General features: G+C 44.2%; 1 protein-coding gene across 33 annotated transcripts in view, besides 3 other annotated features; it reads left to right on the top strand.

The window, feature by feature from the left end:
• PRKAG2 (protein kinase AMP-activated non-catalytic subunit gamma 2) overlaps positions 1-17,582 on the top strand; it is a 320,989-nt gene that overhangs the window by 230,706 nt on the left and 72,701 nt on the right. For 20 of the 33 annotated variants that reach the window (NM_001407023.1, NM_001407022.1, NM_016203.4 and 17 more), the window contains one exon: positions 14,272-14,341. The exons of 4 other annotated variants lie outside the window; for them this stretch is intronic. In NM_001407023.1, coding sequence (NP_001393952.1) covers positions 14,272-14,341 — 70 coding nt within the window. Of the gene's footprint in view, positions 1-13,298; positions 13,840-14,176; positions 14,342-14,529; positions 14,773-17,582 lie in introns of those variants that run through there. 9 more of the 33 variants (NM_001407040.1, NM_001407036.1, NM_024429.2 and 6 more) reach the window with 4 other exon arrangements.
• Positions 12,978-13,327: an enhancer, noted in NCBI's record as "active region_26868". NCBI's record gives its function as "activates an Ori minimal core promoter by ATAC-STARR-seq in GM12878 lymphoblastoid cells {active_cell/tissue: GM12878}" and the evidence as "EXISTENCE:reporter gene assay evidence [ECO:0000049][PMID:35858748]".
• Positions 13,698-14,567: a silencer, noted in NCBI's record as "silent region_18823". NCBI's record gives its function as "represses an Ori minimal core promoter by ATAC-STARR-seq in GM12878 lymphoblastoid cells {active_cell/tissue: GM12878}" and the evidence as "EXISTENCE:reporter gene assay evidence [ECO:0000049][PMID:35858748]".
• Positions 14,718-14,817: a silencer, noted in NCBI's record as "silent region_18822". NCBI's record gives its function as "represses an Ori minimal core promoter by ATAC-STARR-seq in GM12878 lymphoblastoid cells {active_cell/tissue: GM12878}" and the evidence as "EXISTENCE:reporter gene assay evidence [ECO:0000049][PMID:35858748]".

The following is a 17,582-nucleotide window of genomic DNA, read 5'->3' as shown; positions in this document are numbered from 1 at the left end:
TAAATTTAACAAAAGATATGTAAGACCTCCATGGTGAAAACTACAAAAGATTGCTGAGAGAAATCAAAGGGCTAAACAAATGGAAAGATATGCCATGATCATGGATTGGAACACTTAATACTGTTGTCATTTCTTCCCAAATTGATCTGTAGATCAAATGCCGTCCCAGCCAAGATTCCAGTAGGTTTTATTTTTAATTCTGGAATGTATATAGAAACATAAGGAACTTAAAGGACTCACAGCCATTTTTTAAATGAAGAACAAAGTTGGAGAATGTCCACTACCTGATTTTAAGGCCTATTATAGAGCTACAGTAATCAAAACAGTGTGGTCATGATGAAAGTATAGATATAAATCAATGAACAAAATAGAGAATCCAGAAATAGATCCCCATATATGGTCAATTGATTTTAAATAAAGGTACCAAGGGAATCCAGTGAGGCAGCAAAATCTTTTCAACAAGCAATGTGGAACAATTGGATTTCAGTATGGAAAATATGAACCTCAACCCTTGCCACATATCATAATTTAAAAATTAAATCAAAATGGATCCTAGGCCTAGTAAAAGGAAAATGTAAAACTTCTAGAAGGAAACATTTAAGACAATCCTCACAACCTTGGAAGAAGAGGAGGCAAAGATTTCTTAGCTAGGACAGAAAAAGCATGAGTCATAATATAATAAATAGGATCTTATCAAAATTAAAAACTTGCTCTTTGAAAGACATGACTAGGAATATGAAAAGGCAAGCCACAGAAGGAGAGAAAATATTCACTATTCACAGTACATGTGTCTGACAAAGGACTTACATCCTAAATGCATTTTTTTAAAACCCATTGTATTATCTAGTTGTGTAAGAGATTACCACAAACTTAGTGGCTGAAATCATGCATTGATTATCTCATAGCTTCTGTAGGTCAGAAGTTCAGGTACAGCTTAGTTGAGTCCTCTGCCTCAGGCTCTTTTGTGAAGCTTGCAATCAAGATGTTGGCCAGGACCAGGGTCTCATCCGAAGGCTCAGCTGGGGAAGGATCCCTTTCCAAGCTCATGTGGTTAGTGGCAGTGTTTAGTTCCTTGCAAGCGGTTAGACTGAGAGCCTTAGTTCATTGACATGGGCCTCTCCCGCATGGCAGCTTGCTTCACCAAAGCCAGCAAGATAGTGATCTGCTAGAAAGACAAGCCACAGTCTTATGTATATAGACAGAAGCTTAATAATGGAAGTGGTGTCCCATCACCTGTGCTGAATACTGTTGGCTAGAAGTAAGTCACTAGGTCCTGCTCACACTCAAGAAGAGGGATACACAAGTACATGAATGCCAGGAGGTGGGGATCATGCATTGGGGGCCATCTCAGAGTCTGCTTGCCATATTCATACAACTCAATAAGAACAAAAACTCTAATAAATAAATAGACAAAAGATGTGTACAGTCACTTCACAAAAGAAAACACATTAATTACCAATAAACACAAAAAGATATTGTCCTCAAGGAAATGCAAATTAAACTCACAGCAAGAAACCTATACACCCACTAGAATGACTAAAATGATAAAAAATGTTAAGAGACCATACCAAGCATTGATGAGGACATGAAGCAACTGGAACTCTCAACCACTTTGGGCAGAAATGTAAAATGGTACAGCCAGTCTGTGAAATGGGTGGTTTCTCATATTAAACACACACCTACCAAATGACTCAGCCATTCTACTCCTTGGTATTTGCCCAAGAGAAATGAAAGCATGTTCCTACAAAGACTTGACCACACATGTTCACAGCTTTATTCCCAATGGTCAAAAAGTGAAAATATCCCACATGTCCATCAACTGGTGAATGAATAGACAAAATGGGGTCTATCCATAGAATGGGATGCTACTTAGCAATAGAAATGAACAAACTACTGGTATACTGAGCGACATGAATGAATGGCAAAATAATTATGCTAAGTGAAATAATCCAGGAGCAAAAGCACATATACTGTATGATTCCATATACACAAAATTCTAGGAAATATTTATAGTGACATAGTGATAAAAAGTAGATCAGTGGTTGCCTTGAAGAAGGGGTGAACCACAAAGGAGCATGAGCAAACTTTTGGAGTGATAAAAAAATTTTCTCTATATTTTATTTTTTTAATTTTCTCTTTAACATTTATTTACTTTTTAAATTTTATTTTTCCATAAGTTATTGGCATACAGGTGGTATTTGGTTACATGAACTTACATGAGTAAGTTATTTAGTGGAGATTTGTAAGATCCTGGTGCATCCATCACCCGAGCAGTATACTCTGCACCATGTTTGTAGTCTTTTATCCCTTGCCCCGCTTCCGCTCTTCCCTCCAAGTCCCCACAGTCTATTGTATCATTCTTATGCCTTTGCGTCCTCATAGCTTAGCTCCCACATATCAGTGAGAACACACAATGTTTCGTTTTCCATTCCTGAATTACTTCACTTGGAATAATAGTCTCTAGTCTTATCCAGGTCATTGCAAATGCTGTTAATTTATTGCTTTTTATGACTGAATAGTATTCCATCGTATAATTGTACTGATGATTTCATCCTAGCTCATCAAATTGTACACTTGGAATAGAAATCGTTTATTGTTGGTAAATTACACACAACAAAAAGGGACACTACAAATCATTCTTTAAAGGATTTGCATTATGAGGTATGAAGGTCCTGCTTCTCCATTTCCTTGGCTCTGTGTCTGCAGTTCACTCTAATCCACCATAAGTGGCTATGTAACACTGTGGATAGTAAATGAAGACCACTGAAGTCTCCAGAATGTAGAAGATGTGGTGGAGGCATTAGTGGGTCCCTTTAATTTCAGCTGGAATATTGTACTTCCTTTTGATCACGTTATGTAGAGCAGAACTGAAGTGGAAGTAGTCTGTCTCAATCATGTTTGTAATTTTTCACCAATTTAGGAATAGAGCTTCCACCCAATATGGGATTTAAAGGGGCTGAAAAACAGTTAACAGTGATCTGTTCTAGAAAGGGTTAATGAATAGGTCAGTTGCAGGGGAGGGAGCAGAGAATAGAAAACAGAGACTGCCTTGTGACACTATATCATTCTGTACATTGCATTCTAATATAAATACAACATATTTCAAAGTTTGTGACTTGGCTGCATTAAGAATTGAAAGGTTAGATGAACTTGGTGAGCATTACTTATTTTTTTATTTGCAATGTATTATAAGACAATACTAAGAGTTATCAACCTATAAGAGAATATAAATATTCCGCTCCCAATAACTCATGTTAAACACAAAGCTAATAATAAAATATTTTGATTGGCAAAAAAATGGATTTATTTGTGAAAGGCAAGAGATGTATGCATTTCAGACTGTAACGAATGAATTTGAAGGGTAGCAAGGCAATCATGCTGATTCTCCATGTTCCTTGAGCTCCTTCTTCATATCTTCTATGCCAATTTCTAGTCATGCTAGCACATGTTCGTTCAACAGATATTTTATTAACCAACTACCCTGGTTCTGGGCACATAGCCCATATTAAGTAAGTATTTGCTGAATGAATGACTGTCTTCAAAAGCTTACCATTGTCTCCTATTTTGGAAATTCGAAGATAATTTAACATAGAGAATCCAAAGGACTTTTTGGGTTAATCAATTTTCTTCACCTTTTGTTTAACAATACTTCCTTTGAAACAGGTTTTCAGCTGACTTGAGCTGGACAAATTGGTTGCTACTCTCTCTGAAAAGATACTGTGGAATAAATTATCTTTAAAGAAATCATGAATGTTAGGGAGGAACTAATATTTATAGCATCTGAAATTGTTATTCAGAAAGCTGTCAAAATGAACAAAACCTTCTCTCCAAATATATTGATTAAAAGCAATCAGCAGAATTAATACACTTCTTTTTGGGGAGTGGGGTGGTCTCAGTTTGTTGCCCGGGTTGGAGGGCAGTGGTGTGATCACAGCTCACTGCAGCCTTGAACTCGTGGAGTCAAGCAGTCCTCCCACCTCAGCCTCCTGTGTAGCTAGCTGGGACTACAGGCATGAGCCACTATGCCCAGCTACCTTTTGTTTTGTTTGTTTGTTGTTTGTTTGTTTGAGATGGAGTCTCGCTCTGTCGCCCAGGCTGGAGTGCAGTGGCGCGATCTTGGCTCACTGCAAGCTCTGCTTCCCATGTTCACACCATTCTCCTGCCTCAGCCTCCTGAGTAGCTGGGACTACAGGTGCCTGCCACCATGCCTGGCTAATTTTTTTTTTTTCTGTATTTTTAGCAGAGACAGTGTTTCACCGTGTTAGCCAGGATGGTCTCGATCTCCTGACCTCGTGATCCACCCGCCTCGGCCTCCCAAAGTGCTGGGATTATAGGTGTGAGCCACCACGCCTGGCCCCTTTTTTTTTTTTTTTTTTTTTTTAAAGATGGGGTCTCCCTATGTTGCCCAGGCTGGTCTCAAACTCCTGGGCTCAAGTGATCCTCCCACCTCAACCTCCCAACATGCTAGGATTACAGACCGAGCTACTGCATGTGGCCAAGAATTAATACTCATAGTGTTGAATATATATTTGAGATTTTTTTCAAATTTCTACACTACTTTTAAAAATCAATTGTCTTCCCTTAACAGAAACTAAAATTGGCCAGGTGATGTCACTCATGCCTATAATCCCAGTGCTTTGGGAGGCTGAGGCAAGAGGATCACTTGAGCACTGGAGTTTCAGACCAGCCTGGGCAACATTAGCCAGGTATGGTGGCACGTGCTGGCACTCCCAGGTACTTGGGAGGCTGAGATGGGAAAATCACTTGAGCCCAGGAGTTCAAGGTTACAGTGAGCTATGATTGTGCCACTGCACCAGCCTAGGTGACAGAGCAAGACCCAGTCTCTTAAAAAAGAAAGAAAGGGCCGGTTCTGGTGGCTCCTGCCTGTCATCCCAGCACTTTGGGAGGCTGAGGTGGGTGGATCACTTGAGGTCAAGAGTTTCAGACCAGCCTGGCCAACATGGTGAAACCTTGTCTCTACTAAAATACAAAAAATTTGCTGGGTGTGGTGGTGTGCGCCTGTAGTCCCAGCTACTTGGGAGGCTGAGGCAGGGGAATCACTTGAACCAGGGAGGTGGAGATTGCAGTGAGCCGAGATCGTGCCACTGCACTCCAGCCTGGCAACAGAGCGAGACTCCATCTCAAAAAAAAAAAAAAAAAAAAAAGGAAAAAAGAAGGGAACAAAAAAGCTGAAATTGTAGGGTGGTGGCAAGAGCTGGCAAAGCTCTCAGCCAGTATCCATGCCAGGATCTCATACTGCCAGCGAACTTTGGTCCTCAGATAGAATCTATTACAATAAAAACTACCCTGCCATCATTTCTTGGCACAGTCACTTTTTTTCCTTCAAAATGTTAATTCCAACACTAAAGGGAAAGTGACTATAATGATTTCCAAACAGCAATGAGGTCCAAGGGAAGCATGAGTAAATTGAGTGAAATAACTTCTAAACCCATTTATGCTACTAAAATCAACTGTTTCCCTACCAAGTTTTAATGGATGTCTGAATGAACAATTCATTTCACTCAAATATTTTTTGAATGCCTACTATGTGTCACACACAGGCAATACAAGGATGATGAGTCATTCGTTCCCTTCAGAGAGCAATGTGGGACTCAGAGGAAACAGAAAAGTAAATCCCAAGCCAGTGTGTTAAATGCCATATGGAAGCATGTGGGTTCAGAGAAGTAATTAACCAGGCAAGTTGTGAGAAAAGGTCGTGAATCGGGGAAGGAAGGAAGGAAGGAAGGCGGTGGGGGAAGGAGGAAAAGCAGACTGAAAGAAAAGAATCGGGAAAGGCTTTCAGAGAAAGATTGATCTGAATCTTTAAAAATAGTAAGAACTGGCCAAGGAAAGGAGGAAGAAACAAGGAGGCCAGAATGCTCAGAAACCCTTACAGCAGGGAGTGTATGGTCTATTCCAGGACAATGCCTTAAGGTTTAGGTGTGGGGTACACAGAGGGACATGGCAAGAGAAGGTGAATAAATGATCAGGCCCTTCCCCCCAGCTCAGGAGTTTGCCAAGAAAATCCTAAAGATTGCCGAGAGCCACTGAATGGTTCTAAGTTAGTGAATAATAAGTCTGTTTTGTTTTTGTTTTTGTTGAGACAGAGTCTCACTCTGTCACTCAGGCAAGAGTGCAGTGGCAGGATCTCAGTTTACTGCAACCTCCGCCTCCCAGGTTCAAACAATTCTTGTGTCTCAGCCTCCCAAGTAGCTGGAATTACAGGTGCATGCCCCATACCCGGCTAATTTTTGTTTTTTTCATAGAGACATTGTTTCACCATGTTGCCCAGGCTGGTCTTGAACTCCTGACCTCAGGTGATCCACCTGCCTCGTCCTCCCAAAGTGCTGGGATTACACATGTGAGCCACTGTGCCTGGCCAAGACTACATTTTTAAAATGTCACTCTTATCAGTCAGGGTTCTTCAGAGAGACAGAGCCAATAGGTGATAGATAGATGATAGAAACGGATGGAGGTAGGTAGATAGATAATAGATGATTGATTGATTGATTGATTGACTGACTGATAGATGGATGAGAGGGGATTTATTGGGGGAATTGCCTCATGGGATTATGGAGGCTGAGAAGTCCCACAACAGGCCATCTCCAAGCTGGAGTCCCTGGGATGCAGGTAATGGTAGCGTGGCTCAGTCCAAGTCTGAAAGCCTCAGAACTAGAGAAGCCAGTGGCGTAATTCTCAGTCCAAGGCCAAAGGCCTGAAAACCAGAGGGCTGCTGCTGTTAAGTCCCAGTGTCAAGGCAGGAGAGCCTGGAGTTCTGATGCCCAAGAGCAGGAAGAGGAAAGTGTCCCAGCTCCAGGAGAAAGAGCAAGGAAATCCTCTGTCACCTTTATTGTTCTCTCCAGGCCCCCAGCTAATTAGATGGCGCCCGCCCACACTGGAGGCAGATCTTCCCCACTCAGTCCACTGACCCACATGCCAGTCTCTGGAAACTCCTGCACGGACACACCCAGAAATAATGCTTTACCGGTTGTCTAGGTGTTCCTTAATCCAGTCAAGATGACTGGATTCAAATTTAACCATCATAGGCACTCTGGCTACACGGAAGGAAATAGACTGGAAAGCGGGCAAGACTGGAGGAGCTCAAGCTGCCCGGCTGGCCAACCCTGAGAAAATGGAAGCCTGAAACAGGGGAGGTGTAGCAGGGATGGAGACAAGTGGGTTGTCTCAAAAGAAACCAAGACGGCAAGACCCAGAGGACTGGGGCACAGTTTTAGATGAAGTGCATCTGCGTTGGTGTAGAAAACTCCAGTGGAGATGATGGCAGTGTGGAGCTCAGGAGAGGGCTGGGCTGGGACTGAGACCTGGACATGTCAGGCACAGTGGTGGGTTGGAGCTGCCTGGAGAATGCCCAGTGGGAACGGGAGCAGAGTGCATGTGCAGCTCCTGTCCAGCATCCAGGGGGTTTCACGTCGTTCTTTACTCTTTGGAGGACGCCCTTGCAGAGCAGAGTGGAGCTCAAGGAAGACAGCAGGATGCACAGAAACTAAGAGTTCTGTATGCTAAATTATTCAGGAGCTCCTTACCCAGTATTTGAGGTTGATTTATTTCTTGCAGGAGCTATTTAAGACTTCTTTTAAGAGGCAGAGCAAACTCATATCCGACCTCTGTGCGTAAAGGAGTGCTTTTTTGGCAATTGTTTTATGATTAAGTTTTCAGGCTGAAGTTTTCCCTTCTGATAGTCATTCAAAATACAGTGTTTTGCTGCACCTGGGCACAATTATGTAAGACACAACTTAATAATTTAGCTTTTTTTTTTGAGACAGAGTCTCACTCTGTCGCCAAGCTGGAGTGCAGTGGTGCAATCTTGGCTCACTCCAAGTTCCGCCTCCTGGGTTCAAGCGATTCTCCTGCCTCAGCCTCCCGAGTAGCTGGGACTACAGGTGTGCGCAACCATGCCCGGCTAATTTTTGTATTTTTAGTAGAGACGGGGTTTTCACCATGTTGGCCAGGATGGTCTCGATCTCCTGACCTTGTGATCCGCCCGCCTCGGCCTCCCAAAGTGCTGGGATTACAGGCATGAGCCACCATGCCGGGATAATAATTTAGCATTTTTTACCAACCAAGAAGTCACACTTGTGATGGCTCCATGTTTCTCAGGCATTCTCTCCATAAAGTCCAACTTGGGTCCCTCTGTTCCCTCCCACCACACTAGAGTCCAGTAACCTCAGACTGGCTGATGTGATATAAATGGAAATGTTCCCTGTGGTGGAACTGTGCCAGGCTGTTAGCAGAACCCAGTTCCTCCCTGCCATGGTTGGCCCATTTTGTTCTCCCTGGGGAGATCGGTCTGGATTATCAGGAGGGTTTGGGTGGTGGATTTGGTCTGTTTTTGCTACATCAAACATCCCTGATGCTGATGGACTGAGAGAGGAGTCGGTGTCACAAGTGCACGCCCCTTCCCTTTGCTTGCATGACATTGCCCACGCCCTTCCCCTCCCTTCGCCTCTTCTCCCGGCTTTCCCTGCCTGCCTGAAACAGCTAAAATTAAGTCTGGCATAAGTCTGTTGAGACTTTAAGAAAACATTGCCATAAAAGGGCAACGACGACCACCAGCTTCAAGTTCTGTGTGCTGACAAATTCGTCTGTCTTTTGACCCTGTGCACATTAATGTACATACCTAAACTGTAAAAGCCCTCAAATTCCTGAAATTGACTTAGTGTGTTATAAAAAAAAAAAAAAAACCTCATGACTTTTTCTGTTGTTCCATGAGTAGCCTCCTTTCTAAGGAAGAAAACATAAGATTTCTTACTAAGTAAAAAACCTGTAGAAATAAATTCAATCCCACTAGCATATTACATAAAAACATTTTTATTTTAGGCTACTCCTGTACACCCATTCATTATCAAGTGGAGTTGCATAAAACATTAATTGTTAGAATTTCTACTCTCTACCAACTTCTGTAGTGATGGTTTATAGGTCTTTTCAGTCTGTGAACCACTTTTGCGGTCCTCCTGACGTACATACTGCCATTTGTTGCCCATTTCTGCCTCCCAAAAAACAACCCCTCACGATTACAGGTGAAATTGATGGTGCTTATCATAAACACCGGTAAGAATTTTTTTAAATTATTGCAAGAGACAAAAGCATAGACTTAGAACGAGAGATACTTCCTGTGTACCTTGGCTCACTCCAAGTTTTTTTAAAAAACTTTTTTTAAAAATTAAACTTTTTATTTTGAGATAATTGTATATTCACATATAGTTGTAAGAAATAATGCAGAGAGATCCTGTGCACCCTTTACCTAGTTCCCCGCAGTGGTAACATCTTGCAAAACTAAACAGTACAGGAGAAACTTGAATCCTCATACATTGCTGGTAAAAATGTAAAATGGTGCAGCCACCTTGAAAACAGTTCAGCAGGTCCTCAAAATATTAAATGTAGAGAGGCCAGGTGTGGTGGCTCATGCCTGTAATCCCAGCACTTTGGGAGGCTGAGGCGGGTGGATCACCTGAGGTCAGGAGTTCGAGACCAACCTGGCCAACATGGTGAAACCCCATCTCTACTAAAAATATGAAAATTAGCCGAGCATGGTTGTGCGCACCTGTAGTCCCAGCTACTCGGGAGGCTGAGGCAGGAGAATCACTTGAACCCAGGAGGCAGAGGTTGCAGTGAGCTGAAATCGCGCTACTGCACTCCAGCCTGGGTGACAGAGTGAGACTCCATTTCAAAACTAAATTTAAAATATATATATATTAAACATAGGGTTACCCTGTGGCCCAGCAATTCCACTCCTGTATATATGAAATGAAACACATGTCCACACAAACACTTGCACAGGAATGTCCATAGGAGCATTTTCACCACAGCCAAAAAGTGGAAACCACCTGAGTGCCCATCAGCTGACGAAAGGATAAACAAGGTGTGTGTGTCCACACAACAGAGTATCGTTCAGCAGTCAACAGAAATGAAGTGCTGATCCGTGTTACAATGTGAATGGGCCCTGACATTAAGCGGAAGCTAGTCACAAAAGACCACCTATTGTATGATCCCATTGATGAGAAATACCCAGCATCGGCAAATCCATAGAGACAGGAAATAGTTGCCTAGGGATGGGTGTGAGGGTTGAGCAGGTAATGGGACGTGACTGCTAATGGGTACAAGCTGTCTCTTTGGGATGATGAAAATGTAAACTTAGATAGTTGCACAATTCTGAATATTCCAAAAATCACTGGGCTGCACACTTTAAATGGGTGAGTTATTTTATGGTATGTGAATTATATTTCAGTAAAGATTTTTTTGGCTGGGCGCGGTGGCTCATGCCTGTAATCCCAGCACTTTGGGAGTCTGAGGCGGGTGGATCACGAGGTCAGGAGATCGAGACCATCTTGGCTAACACGGTGAAACCCAGTCTCTACTAAAAAAAATACAAAAAATTAGCCTGTAGTCCTAGCTACTCCGGAGGCTAAGGCAGGAGAATGGCGTGAACCCGGGAGGTGGAGCTGGCAGTGAGCTGAGATGGCACCACTGCACTCCAGCCTGGGGGACAAAGCGAGACTCCGTCTCAAAAAAAAAAAAAAAAAAATTTATTGTCATTTCCTCCACAGAATTAAATCAGCTTGGCCTGACTCATAGGGAAAAATACAGGGTGATATCACAAGCAGGATATTGACATTGATACAGTCAAGATGTAGAACAGTTCGGTCACCACAAGGATCTCTTACATTATCCTCTTATAGCCATAGGCACCTCTGGCCCCCTACCCCAGCCCCTGATCCCCGGCATCCACTAATCTGTTCTCCATTTCGACCATTTTATTTCAAGACTATAATATAAATGGAATCATACAGTATATGACGTTTTAGGACTGGCTTTTTCCCCCTCAGCATAATTCCCTGGAGATCTATCCAAGTTGTTGTATGTGTCAGTAGTTCCTTCCTTTTTCTTGCTGAGTAGTATTTTACGGTATAGATGGACCTACCACAGCCCGCTTCACCATTCATCCATTGAACGACATCTGTTATTTCGTTTGCACTGTTGCAAAAAAGCTGCTATGAATATTCATGTACAAGTTTTTGTGTAAATGTAAGTTTTCATTTCCCTGGGATAAATGCCCAAGAGTGTAACTGATGTGTTACATGGTAGTTGCATGTTTAGTTTTATAAAAAACTGCCAAATTGTTTTTAAGAGTGGTGGTTCCTGACCAGGCACAGTGGCTCACGCCTGTAATCCCAGCACTTTGGGAGGCCAAGGCAGGCAGATCACCTGAGGTCGGGAGTTCAAGACCAGCCTGACCAATATGGTGAAACCTCATCTCTACTAAAAATACAAAAATTAGCTGACCTGTGGTAGCATGTGCCTGTAATCCTAGCTACTCAGGAGGCTGAGACAGGAAAATTGCCTGAACCTGGGAGGTAGAGGTTGCAGTGAGTTGAGATAGGTCCACTGCGCTCCAGCCTGGGCCACAGAGGGAGACCCTGTCTCAAAAAAAAAAGAAAAAAAAAAAAAAAAACAGTGGTTCCATTTTGCATTCCCACCAGCAGTGTAGAAGTAATCCTGTCTGTCTCTCTACATCCTTACCAGCATTTGATGTTGTTACTATTGTGATTTTAGCCATTTTAACAGTTGTGTAGTAGTATCTCATTGTGGTTTTAATTCGCATTTATATAATGGCTAATGACTTTGAACATCTTTTCATGCACTAATTTGCCATCTGTATATCTTTCTTGGTGAAACAGCTCTGTGTCATTTGCCTATGTTCTAATTGGATTATTTTCTCCATTTTCTGTTTAATATTGGTAGTGTTTATGTATTCCAGACATTTTTATTTTATTTTATTTTTGCTATTCCTTGGAGAGCAGGGCTAACCCTATAGGCAGTGTGCTAGTAATTTGTTGGCTATGTGATTTGCAAGTATTTTCTCCTACTGTGTAGCTTTTCTTTTCATCCTCTTAACAGGGTCTTTCGCAGAGCAAAAATTCTTAATTTTAATGAGGTCCATTTATGTTTTTCCTTTTATGGACTGTGTTTTTGGTGTCAAGTCTAACTTTTGCCTTGCCCCAGTTCCCAAATATTTTCTCCAAAAAGTTTCATAGTTTTAAGTTCACGATCCAATGTGAGCTAATTTTTGTGTAAAACGCAAGGCTTAGGTTGGGGTTTGTTTTTGTCTTTTTACCTTTTGATATCCAATTACTCCAGTTCTATTGCTTTTACACCTCCATCAAAAATTGGTTTGCCATGTTTGCATGGGTCTATTTCTGGGTTTTCTATTTATTTCTATTGATTATTATATCCATTCTTCTGCCAATACCATTGTCTTGATTGCTGTATCTATATAGTTTGCTTTAATATTAAGCGACTTCAAGATTAAAGAATTCTACTGTAGTCCCAGCTACTTGGGAGGCTGAGGCAGGAGAATGGCGTGAACCCAGGAAGCAGAGCTTGCAGTGAGCCGAGGTTGCGCCACTGCACTCCAGCCTGGGTGACAGAGCGAGACTCCGTCTCAAAAAAATAATAAATAAATAAATAGAATTCTAGAGCTTGCACCTTTCCATATAAATTTTAGAATAAGCTTATTTATGTCTTTAAAAAAAACCCTAATTTGGTAGCAATTGCATTAAACCAAAAGATTAATCTGGGGGAGAATTGTCATTTTTACTATGTTGGGGCTTCCAGCTCAGGACTGTCTCTCCATTTATTAGCTCGTCTTTCATCTACAGTTTGTGATTTTCAGCATACAGCTACTATACATGGTTTCTTGAGTTTATGCCTAAGTATTAATTTTCTTTGAAGTGATTGTATTAAGTGATATTGTTTTATATATTTTTCCATGTGTTCATTGTTAGTTTATAGAAATGTGATTGATTTTTGTGTGTTGATCTTGTATGCTATGACCTTACCAAACTCACTAATTCCAGGTGAGTTTTTTCTTTCTTTTGTAGATTCTTTGATATTTTGTATGTAGATAACATGTTATCTACACAGGTGTTTTTCTTCCTTTCCAATCTGTATGCGTTTTCTTTCCTTTTCTTGCCTTATTGCAGGGCCTAGTACTTCTAGAACCATGTTGAATAGGATTAGTGAGAGCAGACACCCTGGCCTGGTTTCTGAACTTCATAGGGAAAACAGTCTTTCACTATGAAGTATGGTATCTGCTGTAGCTTTTTACCATGAAACATCTTAGTTTTGTTTTCTTTTTCTCTCCCCACCCCTTTTCTTTTTTTAAGAGGTTTAAGACTTAGGGATTGGCGCAAGTAAGATGACAAAGCTAAACGAGAGGCATTTTCAGGACTTCCTCTTTCAGGCCCGGCTTGCAAGAGCGCTAGGGCCAAGCTCCTTTCAGCCCTAATCGGTACTGGAGCTAATCGCATTCGCGGCGCCCGTGCACTCTGCAGGGATGGGCCGTGGGGCCAGGGACCTCAGTCCCCTCTCGGCCTGTCCTGCCCTTCCAGGAGGCTAGCGGCTGCTGGCCGCGCAGCCTGCCAACCTGAGTTGGCCATAGTAGAGTCTCAGATACCCAGCTCCTGAGCGGCCAGGGCCAGATTCAGGGTGTGTACGTTTTTGGCAGCGGCTCCCCAACCGAGAAGACACTCGGCTGCGAAGAGAGGACGCGAATTAAGAGTTCCATGCTGGAAAAAAAAAAATGGATAGCGACAAAGTGCATCTACAATACGTGTAGCCCACGGAACGATTTTTGTTAAGGGGGCCGAGGATGGGCAGTTACATCTAAAATTTGGAAAGGGAAGAGGAAAGCGAGAAAGGATCCCCTAGCTGGCGCCCCGGGGCGTTCTGCAGCCTCCAGCCCCTCTCCCCCTCCCCGCGCCGCGGAGCCCACACCTGCGCAGGTGGAGCCTGCCGAGCGCGGCCGCCGGTGCTGGGAAGGTGAGCGGCGCCGGGGGGCGGAGTGGGGGCGGGCCGCGGGCCTCTCCCAATGGCGGCACGGCGGGGAGGACGCGGGCCACGGCCGGAGGGGGGCGCCCCGGGCCCAGGCGCTGCCGCCCTCGAGCTCCCGGGTCCCTTCCCACGCTTCCTCCCGGGCGGGCCGTACCAAGGCGCGGGGGGGAGCGGCGCGTCCCACTCGCGGAGGGGCACGCGGGCCGCGGCCGCGCCACCTGCGGCGGCGGCGGCGGCCTCGGGCGGGTGGGGGCAGCGCTCCCGCTCCGCCCCCGGCCCCCGCTGCCCGCGTCCCCTGCCAGGCCCCTCCTCCCGGCGGCGCGGCAGAGCCAGGCCCCAGCGCTCGGCCGGCCGCGAGCCCGCCGGCCGGGGACGAGCGTCGCAGCTCATGCTGATCGCTGTCCTCCTCCTCCCCCTCAGGCGGCGCTGGCGGCGGCCCTGGGACCCGCGGAAGCCGGCATGCTGGAGAAGCTGGAGTTCGAGGACGAAGGTGAGTGCGCCCCGCCCGCTGCCGGCCCGGCGCTCCCACGGCCCGGCCGCCCGAGGACCGGGACCCGCGGGGACCCCGCGCCCCATCTCCGGCGCTGCCCCACGGCGAGCTGCGTCCTGCGGAAGCCCAGGGGCCGGGGCGGGAACCGGGGCGGGGATGCGGGCGCCGGCGAGCTCGGGCTGCGGGGTACCGGGCGTCCGCGGAGGGGACGCGAGCCAGGCTCCCAGAGCGCAGCCCTGAGCCCGGCATCCACACGGACGGGCGGCCCTTTTGTCCTTACTCGCCGAACTCGAATTACAGCAAGGTGTCAGGGAGCGCTAATTGTTTGTGCTTGTCACCATGCACTCGGAGGCAACCCCGAATCATACCCACAGTCCAGACCCTTTAATCATAGACTGGTGCCCTTATCTGCGCCTGTGAAGATATGACCGGTAGGGTGTGTCTTCTTTTTTAATGGGGAAAGTTAAATAGGAAAACCTGAAGAGGTTATTGAATCGGTGTTGAGTTCAGGCGACCCTCTCACTCCGTCATTTCTGTCGCCTCTCCTCTCACTTGGTTGTTTTTTTTCCCTCTCCTGTCTTCTTCTTGTATCTTACAGGTAAATAACTTGGATCTTATTTGGAGGCTGTTAACATTTGAAAGGCATGAGCTCGTTCTTTGGCAAAATTAATATTTAAAATGGAATGTGACGAGCTTTCACCAGGATCTTATTTTGAAGCTGTTAACATTTGAACGGGATGAGCTTGCTCTTACGCAAAATTAATATGTAAAATGAAATGTGATGAGCTCAGAGTCGGGAAAGAACTTTATATAAGATGCTTGACAATTCGAGGACTTGAAAAGGCGTTCACACTGTCTTGTGTGCTTCCATTATTTATTTAGCAACTTCTCTTTTTTCCAGGAGTATTGATAGAATAAAGCTCTCGAAACAAAGAACGTGCCATGTGGATGCTGTCCCTTGTGCCAACTTTACTTTAATACCTCTGTTCATTCACAGTCAGGCAATTACTTAAATAAGCCTGCACAGCCAGCATGGACGTGTTAACCCAATAGAATTAGCCGGGTGCCTGTTATCTTTGAGATTCACTGCAGCATTTCACAAACATGTTAGCTGGAAGAGAACGCGTTCATAGTCATTGTCATTAAAAGTGTTTGTCTGTATTTATTGGTAACAAATGGTGCATTTCAGAATTTTACCGGACTTAATTTGCATTTCATCCTACAGAAAAATAATCCAGGGTCTTCATTCGAACCCATCTCACTATTCCTCAGTTTTATTATATTGCAGGCCAAATCTTGGCCGCTGTCCACAGGGTGGAATGGTGTGCCCGTTCCATAAGACTTTGAATGTCTAAATCACCAGGGTTTTGTCTCTTATATTAGTAAGAATGAGAGTCTTTTACAGTTACAATTTTTGCAAATTAGCAGGGAGGCAAGAAGAACTAGAGAGCAGCTTCTGTTCGAGAGGAATCGCTACTACTTATTTAGCTGTGTGACCTTGGACAAGTTACTTAACCTCTCTGTGCCTTGGTTTTCTCATTTCTAAAATAGAGCTAATATCAGGTGTTTTGAGGATTAAATGAGCCAATCCGTATCATGGCATTTAAAAACAGTGTAAACCCATAGTGAGTACTTCATAAATGTTAGTTACTATTATCGCTTAAGTGCCATTAAGCATTGTACTGAATTCATGAGCTTTTTAAGATTTTTATTAATGAAACCCAACACAGAGATTCTTCTCAACACAGATTTGGTGTCCTGTCCCTTTTCTTCTTCTTACTTGAGATTTATTAATTTAATTATGCATTTCTCTAAGCAGATATACACTCTTTTTTTTCTTTTCATTGTGTCTGCCAATGTAATGAATGTAAAGTATTAAACCTAAGTGTCTAAGAGAGGAATTTCCCCTCTTCACCCATCTATTTTTATCTATATTGCTGTCATTCCTTTAAAGCACACCGAATCCCACGAATAACCCTGTCAAACTTTTCTAGATTCTTAAGGAGGCAGAATGTTAAACAGTGACTTTGAGGCTGAGCTGAGCTGGAAGAAAGAACAGTGTTGGCGTGGTAGTCCAAATGCAGCTTTGTTTCTTTTGAACTTTAAATTGCTTATTCATCCAAAATACAGGAAAATTGAATATCAAGCAGAATCTCACACTTATTTAGCAGGGACAAAAGTCCCAGCAGTAAGACATTACACCTCTAAATATCCTACATAATAGGGAGCCCTTGACGAGATCCTCATTTCATCTTTCAGCATCCAGCATACCCTGTTAACGTCTTCATGTATGCATTGATGTCTAGAGGCATTGCTTCAACCGAGATATATTCGCTGTACGTGGAAACACATGATTACTCATATTTTCATTACCAAGATTTTTCTATTTCCTAATAAGTTATAACTGATACTATATTTGTTAGAAACATCTTGGAAGCACTGGTGAGGTTAGGAAGAAAGATTGAGTTCTACCCTGCCTAGTTGGGTCGTCTTTGGCCTGGGTTATGACAGGAGCTGCCATCCCTTTTCTGCTGTCAACCCTTCTTACCACGACAAGAGGGACATGGTACGGGTGGGTTTGATGGCCTCACTCCTCTATGGGAAGGTCTTGACCACGTTCCTCTGTCCGTATATCCGACAGGTGCAGACTTCTCTTACTCCGCAGGCTCAGTGCCCCTCCCTCTCTGTGCATAAGAATAGCCACAGATCTTTTTGAAAGGCAGATTCCAGTTCTCTAGGTCTGGGGTGGGACTTGCCTAGCACAGGGGCCGCTCCTGCTGCCGGTTCACAGACCCCTCTTGGAATAACAGGACATGGGCCGGCCAACTTTTTCTGTAAAGGGTCAGATAGTAAATATTTTAGCCTTTGCGGGTGTTATGGTCTCAGTTTCTGTCACAACCACTCAATTTGCCCTTGTAGCAAGAAAGCAGAAAGCAGCTAACACAATCCAAGGGGCGGGGCTCGGCTCCAGTAAAACTTCTTTACCAAAACCCAGATTTGGCCCTCAGGCATAGTGTGCCAGCCCCCTGCTCTGTGTCTCCCTCACTGTGCCTGTGCCTTAGGGGGTGGCACGTGATGAGGGCTGCATGCTTTCCATGCCACACCGATCTTAGTAAGACTTCAAGGCTCAGCTCAAGTCTCATCTGGTCTCCGAGGCCTTCTCTGAATACCCTCTGTACTTCTCTGGCATTCACCTTTCTCTCCCCCGTGCCTGCTACCACAGCTGGCACATAGCAAGTTC

Source organism: Homo sapiens, chromosome 7 (genome assembly GCF_000001405.40).
Source record: "Homo sapiens chromosome 7, GRCh38.p14 Primary Assembly".
Lineage (NCBI taxonomy): Eukaryota > Metazoa > Chordata > Mammalia > Primates > Hominidae > Homo > Homo sapiens.
Note: the sequence above shows the minus strand (reverse complement) of the source record. Positions and strands in the feature narration are given on the sequence as shown.